Source organism: Homo sapiens, chromosome 11, assembly GCF_000001405.40.
Source record: "Homo sapiens chromosome 11, GRCh38.p14 Primary Assembly".
Lineage (NCBI taxonomy): Eukaryota > Metazoa > Chordata > Mammalia > Primates > Hominidae > Homo > Homo sapiens.
In genome coordinates, this window is record NC_000011.10 from 19706759 (window position 1) to 19721203 (window position 14445).

General features: G+C 46.5%; 1 protein-coding gene and 1 long non-coding RNA gene across 39 annotated transcripts in view, besides 2 other annotated features; one reads left to right on the top strand and one right to left on the bottom strand.

Moving 5' to 3' along the window:
- Positions 1-14445, top strand: part of NAV2 (neuron navigator 2) — a 776366-nt gene that overhangs the window by 361523 nt on the left and 400398 nt on the right. For 24 of the 38 annotated variants that reach the window (NM_001244963.2, XM_011520444.4, XM_006718365.5 and 21 more), the window contains exon 1: positions 6079-7204. The exons of 11 other annotated variants lie outside the window; for them this stretch is intronic. In NM_001244963.2, coding sequence (NP_001231892.1) covers positions 6938-7204 — 267 coding nt within the window. In that variant the 5' untranslated portion in view covers positions 6079-6937. Of the gene's footprint in view, positions 1-6078; positions 7205-14445 lie in introns of those variants that run through there. 3 more of the 38 variants (XM_011520448.4, XM_047427817.1, XM_017018524.3) reach the window with 2 other exon arrangements.
- LEISA1 (lncRNA enhancing IL-6/STAT3 signaling activation 1) lies at positions 4176-7914 on the bottom strand. The gene has a single exon (NR_015384.2). It is a non-coding gene; the product is annotated as a lncRNA enhancing IL-6/STAT3 signaling activation 1 (long non-coding RNA).
- Positions 5784-6313: a silencer, noted in NCBI's record as "silent region_3200". NCBI's record gives its function as "represses an Ori minimal core promoter by ATAC-STARR-seq in GM12878 lymphoblastoid cells {active_cell/tissue: GM12878}" and the evidence as "EXISTENCE:reporter gene assay evidence [ECO:0000049][PMID:35858748]".
- Positions 5954-6147: a silencer, noted in NCBI's record as "fragment chr11:19734258-19734451 (GRCh37/hg19 assembly coordinates)". NCBI's record gives its function as "represses an EF-1alpha promoter that drives an FKBP-Casp9 reporter gene in an ReSE screen in HepG2 liver carcinoma cells {active_cell/tissue: HepG2}" and the evidence as "EXISTENCE:reporter gene assay evidence [ECO:0000049][PMID:32094911]".

Here is a 14445-nt window from a genome sequence, read left to right on the forward strand (position 1 = left end):
TTTGCTACCTGCAGTCATGCATTACTTAATAATAGGGATATGTTCTGAGAAATGAGTCTTTAGTCTTTTTTGTTGTTGTACAGACATCATAGAGTACATTTTCACAAACCTAGATGGGATGGCCTACTACACACTTAGGCTATATTCTATAGCCTATTGCTGCTGGGCTACAAGCCTGTATAGCATGTTGATGTACTGATTACCATAGGTAATTACAACACAATGGTATTTGTGTATCTAAACGTAGAAAAGGTACAGTAAAAATATAGTATAAAAGATTTTTTTAAATGGTATACTTGGATAGGGCATTTACCATGAATGGAACTTGTAGGACTGGAAGTTGCTCTGGGTGAGTCAGTGAGTGAGTGGTGAGAGAATGTAAAGGCCTAGGACATTGCTGTACACTATTGCAGAGTTTATTAACACTGTACACTTAGGCTACACTAAATTTATTAAAAATATTTTTCTTTCTTCAATAATAAGTTAACCTTAGTTAACTGTAACTTTTTTACTTTATAAACTTTTAAATTTTTTGACTTTTTGACTCTTGAAATAACACTTAGCTTAAAACGCAAACACATTGTACAGCTATACAAAAATATTTTCTTTATATCTTTATAAGCTTTTTTCTATTAGTTATTTTTTTAACTTTTTCAACTTCTTAAAATTAAAAATGAAGACACAAACAGACACATTAGCCTAGGCCTAAACAGGGCCAATATCACTGTTTTCCACCTCCACATATTGTCCCTCTGGAAGGTCTTCAGGGGCAAAAACACATATGGAGCTGTCATCTCCTATGCCAACAATGCCTTCTGGAATACCTCCTGAAGGACCTGCCTGAGACTGTTTTACAGTTAATGTTTTTAAGTAGAAAGAGTACAGTCTAATATAACAATGAATAGTACAGTAAATACATGAACCCATAACATAGTAATTTGTTATCAAGTATTTATCATCAACTATATAAAGTATTAGGCACTGTACATGGTTGTGTGCGCTATACTTTTATAAAACTTGCAGCACAGTATCACCACAAACATGAGTACTGTGTTGCACTACAATGTTATGACTGCCACTATGTTACTAGGCAATAGTAATTTTTCAGCTTCCTTATAATCTTACAGGACCGCCATCATTATATGCAGTCAGTCATTGACCAAAACATCATTATGCAGTGCGTGACTATATTTATTTGACATTTAGTCTGGGTCATTGACTCAAATGCCTATAAACACACATACACACATACATACCCCTCACACTCTAGCTTCTGCAGGTAGGGGAACCCTCAGCCTTTGTTCTCAGAAAAAAAGCCCCAGAGGTTACCATTGGGCATACTGATTTGCACACAGACCCATCTGGAAGAAAGTTTGAGATTGGAAGTGAGTCACTGATAGGGTGAGTAGATGAGCAGACTTTCCAAAGAGATGTCTTAAGGTTCTTACCTCACTTCTCTGCAGTATGAGATGGGTGGCCTCTCAACTCAGCCACTACTAAAAGGTGAGCCTTTGTGCCATCTCGGAGATGTCTCATAAGTTGCCAACCCATTTGTAGAAAATTAAGGAAAAGTGCATTTTTTTTACTCCCAAATAAACTCATAAATATTTTGCTTTTTATATTATTCAAGAAACTTTGCAACATTTCCCCTCATCATGTATAATCTAGGGTCTCCAAAAGGCTGTAGACTTTTCCCCCCAAGATCCCTGCATTTTTTTGTGACAGGCTGGGCCTTAGATGTTCCAGGCTCTTCACCGGACTGTCTTCTTGGGAGGTCAGGCCAACAGGGGTCTTTAACTAAGATGAAGGATGGGTTGATGGAACTGGTCACTCACAGGTCAGGTCTGAAGCCCAATTCACACTCAACTAATCACAAGTGGCTGACGTTGAGGAGCAGAGAGGGGTGCAGCTGGCACTTCCTGATCTGAGGATGGCTCTTAGAACCAGGGAACTATCCAGTCTCTTAGGATGATTCAGTGGACCTGAGAGCTTTGATAATACGTTTCAATTTGGCCTATCACTGACATTTGGGTGATTCTGCAAGTTCTGAGCCAGAAGAAAAATAAAGAATGGTTGTCAAAGTTGGAATTTAAAATGGTGGGCCATTTCAACTTGGCATACTTGTCCATAATGCATATAGTAAAAAAAAAAAAAAAAGAAAAAAAGAAAAAAGTTATTTTAATACCTGGATAGTGTATTCTTTCCAGAGCAGCTTGCCATTCTCCAAACCAGTGACTTGCGTTAGCCTCCAATGCTTGCAAAACATTGATTTAAAATGACGTTTTTCATGTTAACACAGTATCAGTGTGGAAGGAGTAAACTTATAGGCCGTTTTTATAATTTGAGATTATCTTATTTAAGTAAGAAACTTATAATTATCTCATTTATCCTAGGAGAAAAAATAGCTTCCCCCCGCCCCACCCTTGTCTGGTTATTATGATAAATTATTTTGCTTTAAATAAGAAAAATGAACGTTTATAGAAAATATCTAAAAGGAGATAGGGCCAGGCACGGTGGCTCACGCCTGTAATCCCAGCACTTTGGGAGGCCAAGGCGGGCGAATCACGAGGTCAGGAGGTCGAGACCATCCTGGCTAACATGGTGGAACCCCGTCTCTACTAAAAATACAAAAAATTAGCTGGGCATGGTGGCGGGTGCCTGTAGTCCCAGCTACTCAGGAGGCTGAGGCAGGAGAATGGGGTGTACCCAGGAGGCGGAGCTTCCTGGGTAGTGAGCCAATATCGTGCCACTGCACTCCAGCCTGGGCAGCAGAGTGAGACTCCGTCTCAAAAAAAAAAAAAAAAAAAAAAAGATATAAAAGGAGATGAATCTTTGGGAGGCCAAGGCAGGTGGATCACTTGAGGTCTGGAGTTCCAGACCAGCCTGACCAATATGACGAAACCCCGTCTCTACTAAAAATACAAAAATTAGCCGGGTGTGGTGGCATGCGCCTGTAATCCCAGCTGCAGTGAGCCAAGATCGCGCCATTGCACTCCAGCTTCCAGCCTGGGAAATTAGAGCAAAACTCGGTCACAAAAAAAAAGGAGATAAATAATGCTCCAGGAAAAAGCAAATAGAATTACTAAAGGGAAGAAGAGGCAGGAAAAGAAAGAAATTTGGAAACAGACTAAAAGATTCACTTGTCCTCAAGTGAAAGATCTTTCATCAAGAAAAATGAAGAATTATCAGAATTTAGTTATATAAAACACACAGGGTTAAGGGAAATGCTCATGTTTACCAATCCTAGAACATTAGAAATACTTTAAAAGAAATACTGTTGTTCATATTTATGCATATTTGAGGGTCTCAGAACCCCGAAATGACCTTGGCAGTAAATACAATTTAAACAGGAAACCAAAGATGGCAAATACATAATATGTATTTCACTATTTCCATTTATATACCCATAGCAGACATTATCAAGTGATCAGGCGGCTATTTCCAACTAGATGGATGCACTCTGAGATCCTTTTCAGTAGATGGCCCTTAAGATGAAATCCTCCTGCTGTCTGTGCTACTCAAAGCGTGATCTTTAGAACACCAGCATGTGCATGACATGAGAACTTACTCGGAAAGCAGAATCTCAGCCCCATTCTAGACCAACTGAATCTGAATCTGTATTTTAGCAAGATCCCCAGTGATTCTTAGGCATATTAAGGTTTAAGAAGTTCTGGAGATGCACTGAATGCATGATATATTCATTAGGGCAGAATATCTCAAGTTTTAGTATGCATCATAATCACTAGGTTGAACACTGTTGAAACACAGATTGCTGGGCCCCATCCCCAGGGCTTTTGATTCAATAGGTCTGGGTGGAGCTTTCAAACAAGTTTCCAGGTAATGCTTCTGCAGCTCCAGGGACCACACTTTGAGAACCACTGCATTAGGGCCATGGGAATACTTTGGAATATCTCCCTGATCTTTAGAAGCTGAAGATTGTGATATCTTTCCACAAATCTTGGTACACTGGTCAGAACTAGAATTCAGGGCAGGCAAAAGAGTCCCAAGGTTTATAGCATAATATTTCGTATGTCCTTATGTTCCTAAATCTAAAAGACAATCTCTCCTTCTTCTAGCATCATTCAATCATTCATTCAGTATAAATGTTGGGTAGCTATTCTGTCCACAGCTTTATGCTCCATACTGAGAAGATCTAAAGAAAGTTAAAACACAGCTCCTAATTCCAAGATGTTTATTCTCTAAGATGAAAATGAATGCATGAAACAATAAATAACAGGTTAAATAATGGGAGACAATAGTACGGGAGGTGGCATCAGATGGCAAAGGGCAAAGTGTTAAGTAAGTAGCATGAATGATGTGTGACTTGATTTCAGAGAGAGGGAGGATAACTGAAACAGACATAGACAGGGCCGTGCATTTCAGCCTAACTAGAGTAGAAAGTTGCTACCTAGAATGGCTAAGAAGGTGCCTTCTCATTTCTTAATGCTTCAGAGGTTAAGACTTTGATGTTTCCTCTGGTCTGAGATCTTTGTCACTTTGGGCCACTATAACAAAAATACCATAAACAGGATGGCTTAAACAACAAACATTTATTTCTTACAGTACTAGAGGCTGGAAGTCTGAGACTAGGATGCCAACACGGTATCAGATTCTTGGTAAGGGCCCTCTTCCTGGTCCACAGAAGACTGCCTTCTGTGTCCTCACAAGGCAGTAAGAAAGCATCTCTCTCCTGTCTCTTCTAATAAGAGTGCTAATCCTATCATGAGGGCTCCACTGTCTTGACCTTATTACCTCCTAAAGTTCCCCACCTCCTAATACCATCACACTGGGGATTACGGGTTTAACATGAATTCCAGGGGGACAGAGTTAATAGCATCTGAGTTATTCTAAATCAATGCTATCAGCACTGAAGATCAGGCTATAGGGTGGGCACAAAGTGTCCTGGAAACAAAGAAGAAAGACAAATAGTTTATAAACAGAGATGACTTTGGGGGAAAGCAGCAGTAATTTAACAACAGGGAAAATAAAGCCCAGCTTTTATTGGTCTCTTACATTGCCAGGTACTTGTGCTAAATGACTGCCATGCACCAACCATCTCATTTAATCCAAACAACAGCTCATTAGGTAAATGTCGTCAAGCCTCCACCTTACTACATGTGAAAACAGAAGCTTTATAAGCATGCATGTAAGCTTAAATAACTTGCCCACTTCTAATCCAAGCAGTTCTACAGGGTGGGAGGCTCCTCATTCATAAATCGCGAAGGCTGGCCTGCCTGATCATCTCTCAGTTTCCTTCTTATTCTCATCCACTTTCAGTCAGCGAGGAAACCACAGAGCAACCCAAACAGCGAATTCGAGTCGAGGAACCTGTTGGGGCCAGTGCGTCCCAGGCGCGGACAGGGAGGGGCTCCATGAAACGCAGCAAGGTTTGGCCAGAGCCTGCCGGGGTCATGGAGCCTCTCCCGGCTTCTTCAGGCCACTCTAATTACAGAGTCTGTGGTAGGTTGCGTGGAGGAGCTGTCTCGGGGCGGGAAGCTTCCCTGCGTATTGTATTTGCCTATAAATACTTCAAATAGTTAAGTGAAATGTGCAGCCTTTGAAAACTGGAGAGGAAGCCGTTGGGAGGCCCCCCGCCCAGCCGGCCTGGAAGAGCAGGCAGAGAAATGGCTGGCGCGCTCTTAAAGCGGGAGACGAGCTTCGGCCCTGCCCAAGCCAGATGGGGGCAGCGAGGCTGCGGGCGTGACTCCGGAAGACTCAAACCGTTAAGGTGACCGGAGCAATTTGAAAAAGGAAACAAACTTCCCTCGAGCCGTGCCCGCGTGGCTCTGGGGCGGACGGTTGCGTTCGAAAGGGCATTTTTCAAAAGAAGGGTTTCAGGAACGCAGGGGTGTGGGCCCCCCGGGAGGCGCGCGGCCGGGGCAGTGCCGCAAAGCGGCCACCAGCCCGCTTTGTACTCGCGGCCAAGCGCGGCCCCAGAGTTTCGGCGGCGGCCAGAGTTTAGGCCACACCCTCTTTGCAGTGAGACCCGCGGCCGCTGATTGGCGCACCGTGGACCAATGGGCGCGCCGGGGCGGCCCCGGCTGTCAGCGCGCGCCGCAGCAGCGCCGGCAGCAGCCTGTCCTCCCCTGCGCTGAGCCCCGCAGCCAGCGCAGCCTTCCCGGGAAGCGCGGCGGCCGCTCCCGAGCGCAGCCCTGCCCGGCCCGCCAGCCGCGCGTCCCGGCGCCCGCGCCCCACGGCCACAGCCTTGCCTCTATCTAGCTCACGGAGCATGTGCAGACCCGCAGGCGCTAAGGTGCTCTCAGTCCGGGGGCCTTCTGGGCAGCGGTGACTGTCACCCCAAGAGAGACCTTTCGGGGGCTCTTGCCGCACCTCTGCTGCGTCGCGGGTGACACTGCGGTGCTCGCGAGCAGGGTGGCAGCTGCCTCTCGGTGGAGACGTCTTGGGACCCTTGCGCCCTTCTTCTCTCCTTCCTTCGCTGCTGTCTCCTTTCCTTCCTTGGCTGCTCGCTCTTTCTCTCGCCGGCTCAGACCCGTAGCCTCCGGAACGGGACTCGTGGGTCGCCGCCGCCTCTGTCTCTTCCAAAGGGGCCTCCTCACTTCGGAGATGCAGTGACAAGTTAATATGGGCGTCCAAGCCTCTGTTTCCCAGGAGGAAATTTGCAAGAGGCGGCAGCCCCTGAGCGCCCAGAGCTCTTGAAAGGCCACCCAGGAGAGGTGTGAGACCCGGCGGCAGCATCCGTCCAGGTGGGACCCGCTGAGCGCCGTGGCCAGTCCCCCATTCCCATCCCGGCACCCCAAAGGCGCGCTCGCCCGATTGCTTCGAGTTCCCCGACCTGGGGATTTTTTTTTTAGCCGCTGGTGGTGGGCGCCTCGTGGGCTAAGGCCCGGCGCCTGCTCTGCTACCCGCGCTGCCTTTAGCGGTCGCCCCCGCCGCCGCTGCCAGGGACGTGCTGGGAAAGCCCAAGCCCCGGGAGAAGATGCCGGCCATCCTGGTCGCCTCCAAAATGAAGTCGGGACTGCCCAAACCCGTGCACAGCGCCGCGCCCATCCTGCACGTGCCCCCGGCCCGGGCGGGCCCCCAGCCCTGCTACCTGAAGTTGGGAAGCAAGGTGGAGGTGAGCAAGACCACCTATCCTAGCCAGATCCCCCTGAAATCGCAGGTGCTGCAGGGGCTGCAGGAGCCAGCGGGGGAGGGGCTCCCGCTGCGGAAGAGCGGCTCGGTGGAAAACGGGTTCGATACCCAGGTGAGAGATGCCGTTTGCCGGGGTACTGTTCTGGAAGGATGGATGAATAGTTCTTTCGGGATGGTGTGGGAGAAAGGGCTGGATGGGAGAAGGGTCTACCATGTGGCCAGGGAAGGGAACCATTCCCCTTAGGCCGGCAGGTTGGGGGATGCGCGAGGAGAGTGGGCCGGCCGGTGGGTGTGGCCCGGGTGCCGGAGGTTTGCCTTAAGAGCTCTTCGAGACCTGGGATGGCGGGCACGTCTGCAGCATCTTCCTGGGGAGGAGGAAAGGTCGGGATGTTCTCAAAAAACGTGTGCATCGCTGGAAATGTGAGGTCCTGCATGTTGAGGTCTTGGCCCCAAGAAGCCAGTATCCGCAGCAGCAGCTGTGTGTCTGTCTGGCGGTTCCGCAGAGATTCTGTTCCGGACAAGGAATGATCTAAGGCCCCATTGGGTTCGACGCCCCCTAGCCTGGCTGTAAGATCCAGGAAGAAAAGGGGATCGCGGGTGGCAGTGAACCTGCTCTTCCCTTGGCTTGAAGATGACCTGTCCCTGCCCCATCCTGCGGGGTGACGGGATTCCGGGCAAGGTGCTGGGACTGCGGTACTAGTGCACCAGCTGAGGCCGGCAGCTGGAGACTCCTAGCGCCTTGGCTGGCTGTTGCGGTGGGGGTGGGGGTGGAGGTGGCTGCCTCAGAATGGCGGCCGAAGCTAAGCCCCTCCTTCCTGGGTGGTAGATCCTGGTGTTGGTAGCCCGAGTGACGGGGCGTGGGGATGGGAGATGGCTTGAAGAGAATTGGTGACTCCTACCTTTCCAGACAGAGCCTGCATCCAGACAAGCCCTGGCCGTGCAATCTCTTTTACAGAAATTAGCAAGGGCCAATCAGGTTCTCTTGGTCCTCCCCGCTCCATTTCCCCCTTCTTCTGGTAGGAGGGGGCTATATTTTCTTGGCAGTCAGTCAGCAGGGACTTTTGGGGACAGGCCGACCTGACGGATGTGACTGTCCGGTTAGGAGAGGCGGGAAGCCAGAGGGGAGGTGGTTTGGGGCTGGTGTCAGGAAAATGGCAACAGACCAGCTGACCTTTTTGGCACATACTTCCCTGCTGACACCATCTCCACCTTCTCCTGGAGCTTTCTCTGATCAGAGGCTAGAGCTCAACACGTTCCTAGGCTTTCTGATGCGGGAACTGGAGCTGAAGCTAATTGTAAGCAGACTTTTGGAACTCTGGGCTGGAGAAGGCCCTCAAAGCAGATTAAGCTCCCACACCAGGCTGATAAGCATGCCCCTTGCTGCTGCACTTGCTAAACATTTTTGGAAGCTGACAGGTTTGAGTGATGGTGTGTGGGAGGAAGGCAAGATTTCCTCCAGTGCTCCGGGGGCCTGCCTCTGTGAGGGTTTTGTGCTCTGCTCTTCTTCTGTTGTTACGTACAGGATTTGTCCAGTGGGCTCTGCCATGGGGGTGAGCACCAGGGTACACTTCTGCATGGGGTTTCCCTTCATCCATGGACTTGGGGTTTATGAGGTGTAGTGGGCAGTCGGTGGGAGGTCAGTACAGTGACTCGGGACTGGAGGTGACACATACCCTCGAGCCTGATGAGGAGCACCCGAGGAATGAGAGGGAAAGTCCATGCTGGGATTGTTCATATCCAGGCAGCTGTTCTGCCTTTGCCCGTTTGACCCTTCATTTAACAAACATTGTCAGAGGACTGGCAGTGCATAGGCTCTGGAAAGGTGATTCATCACCCTGTCCGTGAAAAAAAATGTTCTTCAGCTTCTCTCTGAGGGGCTGGAACAGTCCACTTCCCTCAAGACTTTGCTTCCCTCTTTTGCCCTTGGTCCATAATCCCCCCATTTCACCTCTCTCGCCCTCAATGGGCCCTTGTGTACTGATGGTGAACATAGTTTGGATGGACTGCTAAGGAAATTGGCCACTTCCAGTGGACTACCCTGATTTTTACCTGCCTGCCCTCGTTTGCCAGTGCCCAGGGGTTCTGGGGGCTCTTCCCTGTGGCAGATCCCTGTCTGCACAGCTGACATCAAAGTGATTTTGGCCAATGGGATTTTACCTTCTTTGCCAGGGCTTCTCCCACAGTCTGCCTGATAGGGTACCCATTCCCCCTCCAAAACAGTCTCTTGGTTATGGCATGAGGACTGTGTCTGACTGGCCATCTGGTAGTTTCCAGGTCCCAAATTTGGTATATATTATTAGAAGATACTCAGGAAACAATGAATTAAATGGCAAATGCTCTCTTGGGGCCCCTGACTCCCCTTTTATTCAGGGGATTTTTGGCAGGAGATTGGGTTGTGTAGTGGCTGATAACATAGCTTTTAAAGTCAGATGGGTATCGCTGGTGTCTTGCGTCTGTCATATACTAGCTAGGTGACCACCTTGATTAATTTCTTTGGGCTTTAGTGTTCTCATCTATTAAAAAATGAGCATGAACAACCATTAGAGTTGTGAGCATTAAGAAAAATAACGTAAAGTGTTCAGTGCAGTGTCTGGCAAATAAGGAACACTTAATAAAAGTAGCTATTTATATTGCTAACCTAAGAGATGGGGCATGCTGAATCAACATTAATAGCCCGTAAATGAGAAAAGATATGGCTTATTCTCTCAAGCCCCTGGAAAGGTATCAATCTGTTCCAAGGATCTGTAGAACATCTATCACCTTTCTAGTACAGTACCAGGCAGAACGGGAAGATGAGGGAAGGGCATGTCCACTTTCTGAGTGCCTGATGGGTGAGGCTCTTTACATATAATCTCATTTCATCTTTACAGAAACACTTAAATCAGGTCTGATACATCCATTTTCTATGACAGTAACAACATGGTAACAATAATAACAATGGTAATAATGGCCAAATCCTTATATATCACTTTCTATGTGCCAGGAATTGTTCTAAGGACTTTACATTAAAAACTAATTTTATTCTTATTACAATCAAATGAGATAAATGTTATTATCCCCATTTTACACATATGAAAACTGAGGCAAAGACCAGTTTGGTAACTTTGTGAGTAGCAAAGGTAGAATTAGAACTCGGGCAGTCTGGCACTAGATCCCATGTCTTTAACCATGATATTGTACAGGGAGAAACACAGAGACTGTCTTAGAACTTGCAGGCCCTGATTTATAAGACCATTGCTGTAACCATTGAGCTAGATGAGGCTTAGCAAGGTACAGCCACTTGCTCTCGGTCATCCAGGGTGGCAGGGCAGGGAGTCCAGCAAGGTTGGTCTGGCTTTGAGGCCTGCGGTCTTCCCACTCTTCATTGCTTTCTTTTTCCATCCTGCTCTGGCAGATCTACGAGGCAAATAGGACATGGCCTGGGCCTTGGGGATTTTATAATCTAGTTGGGAGGCATAACTGATATACACAGGGCAACAGGGCACAACACAGGGAGGCCTCAGAGGCATGCTTGGGGCTGGGTATCCAAGGTGCTCAAAGGAAAGGCCAAGATGGCTGGAGAAGTCCAGAGAGCCTCTGGAGGAGACAGAAGATGAGCTGAATTTTGGAGATGGGAAGGACAGACTGGTGGGGAGGAGAGGAAGTCAGAATGAATGTGATAGTGGAGAATGAAGAGCAAGGTCATGCAGTGGTACCGAGCAGTTGATGTTGCTTCATGCAACAAGTCATTGCTCCAGATCTGACATCTTCCCTTTCAAAAGGTGATGAAGAGAAAGAACAAAGGCTTTGCAGCTGAAGGATTGGATTTGCATGTTGGCTTCCTGGTGGATCATCATTCTGAATGTGCAGGGTAGTTGTGAGAAGATCCGGAGAGGGTGTCCGTTAAGGACCTGATTCAGATTCATAACAGATCATTGGGAAATGATGGTGATTATTATTTTTAGCTTGGGGTTCAGAATATTCAACGTGGTAGTTACAGGGGAAAGGAGGCTATTCTGACACCTTGTTTTATTATGCAGCAACTTTCTTCAGCCAGTGACATCCCATTGCCCCTAAGCCTGCTCTTCATCTCCATCAAGTGTGAAAAGACCTAACTTAGCCAGCAAGTAGCTGTTAGGTACAGCCCTACTGTCACCCACCCTTCCTCCAGGCCCCTTACCTTGAGTCTCTCCCATAAACCTACAGCTGGTTCTCCCCCACCCACCCCCACCCTTCCCAGTGCAGGAAACTGTGTTCTGCAGCAGCAGCACACCTCCCCTGAATTACCTTCCTGGGACTGAGATACCTGTGCCTTCCCCCAAGTATGAACATTTATAGCATCTGCTCTGTTAACATGTGAATAAATTAGGACCATGTGCAGAGAGCTGTTTTAAAGACACGCTCTGTGTTTGTTCAGAAACTCTCTCTGGCTGACCTTCAGATAAGTAACATGCCTGAGCTATTTGAGGAGACATTAGCCTATTTTTAAGAAGCAGTTGCAAGGAAAAAAAGAAAAAATATATACATATATAAAATATTTTGATATTTCCTGTTTTTAGCAGCTGGTGTTCAAGTTGCACCTAGTTTTTTTAAAAAAGTAATTAGAAGTGATTGAACTTCTCTGTGGGTGTTTTAGATGTTGAAAAAGAAAGCATAGAGGAGGCCCCTGGGAAGAGAGCGCAGCTCTAAGCTTACAACCTGTGGCAACTTTGCTCCATTGTGTTTTGATTAGAATCCTTGCTCCATCATCAAAGGTGATTATGGATTTGATTAGTGCATTTTTCTGCTATTGTGTTACTCCCTTTCTTCTCTTTCTCAGTTCTTGGAGGGGAATGTATAGCATGGTTATCTGCCAACATGCAAGAATGTTTATGGTTCACATATTATTGCTTACTCCATGGGTTAATTTTCTAAAGACACTTTAAGGGTGGTACTGGTGGCTTATTCAGGGTAACATTACATGTGTATATATCTGTATATAAATACATCTACTTCTGGATATGTGTATATATGCATATATACACACAGATAACACAAATATATACACATGGAACAGCTTAAAGTATTGAGCACATATAAGCACACACACACATCAAAGGGGAGGCTGGAGGAGTTACGGCCCAAATTCTAGCTTTCAGAATAGCTAGGTTTGCTTTCCATTTCTCATTCTCTCTTCCTCTGTGACCAAGATCTGAAGCACCAAATCTGGGTCCCATATTATTTACTTATAAGATATAAGGGATGTAGCCTTCAGAGAGGTGTTTTCATGAGGCCCCAGTGGAACTCTTGGAACCATTCTGAAAAAGTCAAACCACCCAGCGAGATTTTGGCTTAAGGTCAGAAATTCTTAGTTCTCAGAATCCGCCTCAGCAGCAGGGAAGGGAACATTTATGGAGCATCTGCTATGTGCCAGGTAGTCTGCGGAGCTCTTTATATAGATATTATTTAATGTGAGGCACAAGAAGCTGGATAAAATGGAAAACGGTCTGTGCATTTTTTGTGAGAAAGCAGAGGCCAAGGGAGGTTATCACTTGGAGGCAGTTTTACGTGGTAAATTCGACTTTATTGAGAGGTCAGAGTTTGCATCTAGGCTTTGGGCAAATTATAGAACATCCCTAAACTTCAGTTTTGTCATCTTTGAAGCAGAAATGGTGATGCTTATAGGTTGGGGGTGAGGGTTCAGTGAGATATTCCAGGTAGGTTCCTGAACACAGTGTATGGCACATACTAAGCTAGGAATATATAGTATTGCCTATTTTTGTTACCTAAGGTCAGATCCAAGTTTGGAAACTATGTCTGCCTCATTCCAAGCTCACGTTCTTTCCACCCTACCTCTCTGCCTCCCAAGTACGCAGCTGAGTACATGAAAAGACAGACGGCTTGCACCATGAAAGTGGAGGGCATAGCAGGGCTTTGGTTAGATGAATGGGTAAATTAAGAACAACGTCATCCAAAGAAGTCATATCTCGAGTTGTTAATTGAAACCTTCACAGGTTGGTCCCAGACATGCCATCTTTATAACAGTAACCAAGCTGAGGGATCCGCTACAAACCAAACTTGTGGGAAGCTTCCTTTGTACAACTAGTCTGAACTGGCACTGTAGAGGTGGTTGAGTGGAGCCGGCCAATCTGAGGGCCTAGCCCAGGACAGGACCAAGAATGGAACATTTTCATTGACTGGGCTTCTTAATGGTTCCTCATTGTTCTGAGGGCAGAAGGAAAGCCCTTTTTTCTCCCAGCAGGCATGGTTGTAATGAGAGCTGGACCTTGTGATCAGTTGGCCATTAAGGTGCCCCAAGGCATGGCCAGCTGCCCAATGGTGCTTTACCAATAACCACAGGCCAAATTCAATGACTATTCTGTCTCTTGGTCACATTTTTCAAAGAGATGGACAATGTGTTCCTAGAATGGCTTGGGCAGAATGGGCCATGTGATTTTGGGAACAAAACTTAGCTAGGCTTTTTGTGCTTTAATCTACACAAGACAATAGTGAGTGACACAAAGTTTTTTGCAGGAACCCCCATTCGCCCACACAGAGCCAGAGAATGACTCATGGCTTAGTGCCCCCTTTCCCAGGGAATACAGATCCTCTCTTGTGTTTTGCAAACAATGGGCCCCCAGCCTCAGAATATTTTGCCTCTTCTTCCAAGTGAAACCTCAACACCTTCAGTGAATTTTGGGTTATTCCAATCCTTCCGTTCATCTTGGTGGGACAGAGGATAGGGTAGAAATGGGGTCTTAGTCAAGATAATTGTGATCCCACTTTCAGCGGTCTTTGGAAGACTTTGAACAAAATTAGCTACTCATGGCAATGTGGCACTTTAAAAATAATTATAATACTAGTCACGGATATCGATTGAGCACAGCCTCTGTATCAGCATAATGCATAGCACCAGATATGTATCATTCATTTAATCCTCACAACATCCCATGAGGTAGATGCTACTTCCTGAAGAGAACTGGAAATGACCACTCTAGGACTTAGCAACTTTGGTTCTAATTCTGTCTCTTTAGTCACCTTGCTACATGACCTTCAACAAATCACATTTTCTTTCTGAGCTTCAGTAGCCTCACCTATAAAATGGAGAAGATAGTACCTGCTGTACCTTCTTTGAAGTTACTATGAAGATTAACACAGGTAATTATTGTGAACAAGGCACCTGTTTAAGCATCTTACACTTTAGGTAGCCCTTGAGGAAACCAGGGCTGACAGAGGTGAAGCTACTTTTCCAAGGAGCACAGCTGGTAGGTAGACCCAAATATTTGAACGCTTATCTGTTTGACCTTTGAAGTCAACCTTCTTAAATAGCAAGTGTGAAAGCACTTTGAAAAAATATCTGAAAAAATGCTGTTACTACTGAGTCTAAGTAAATCA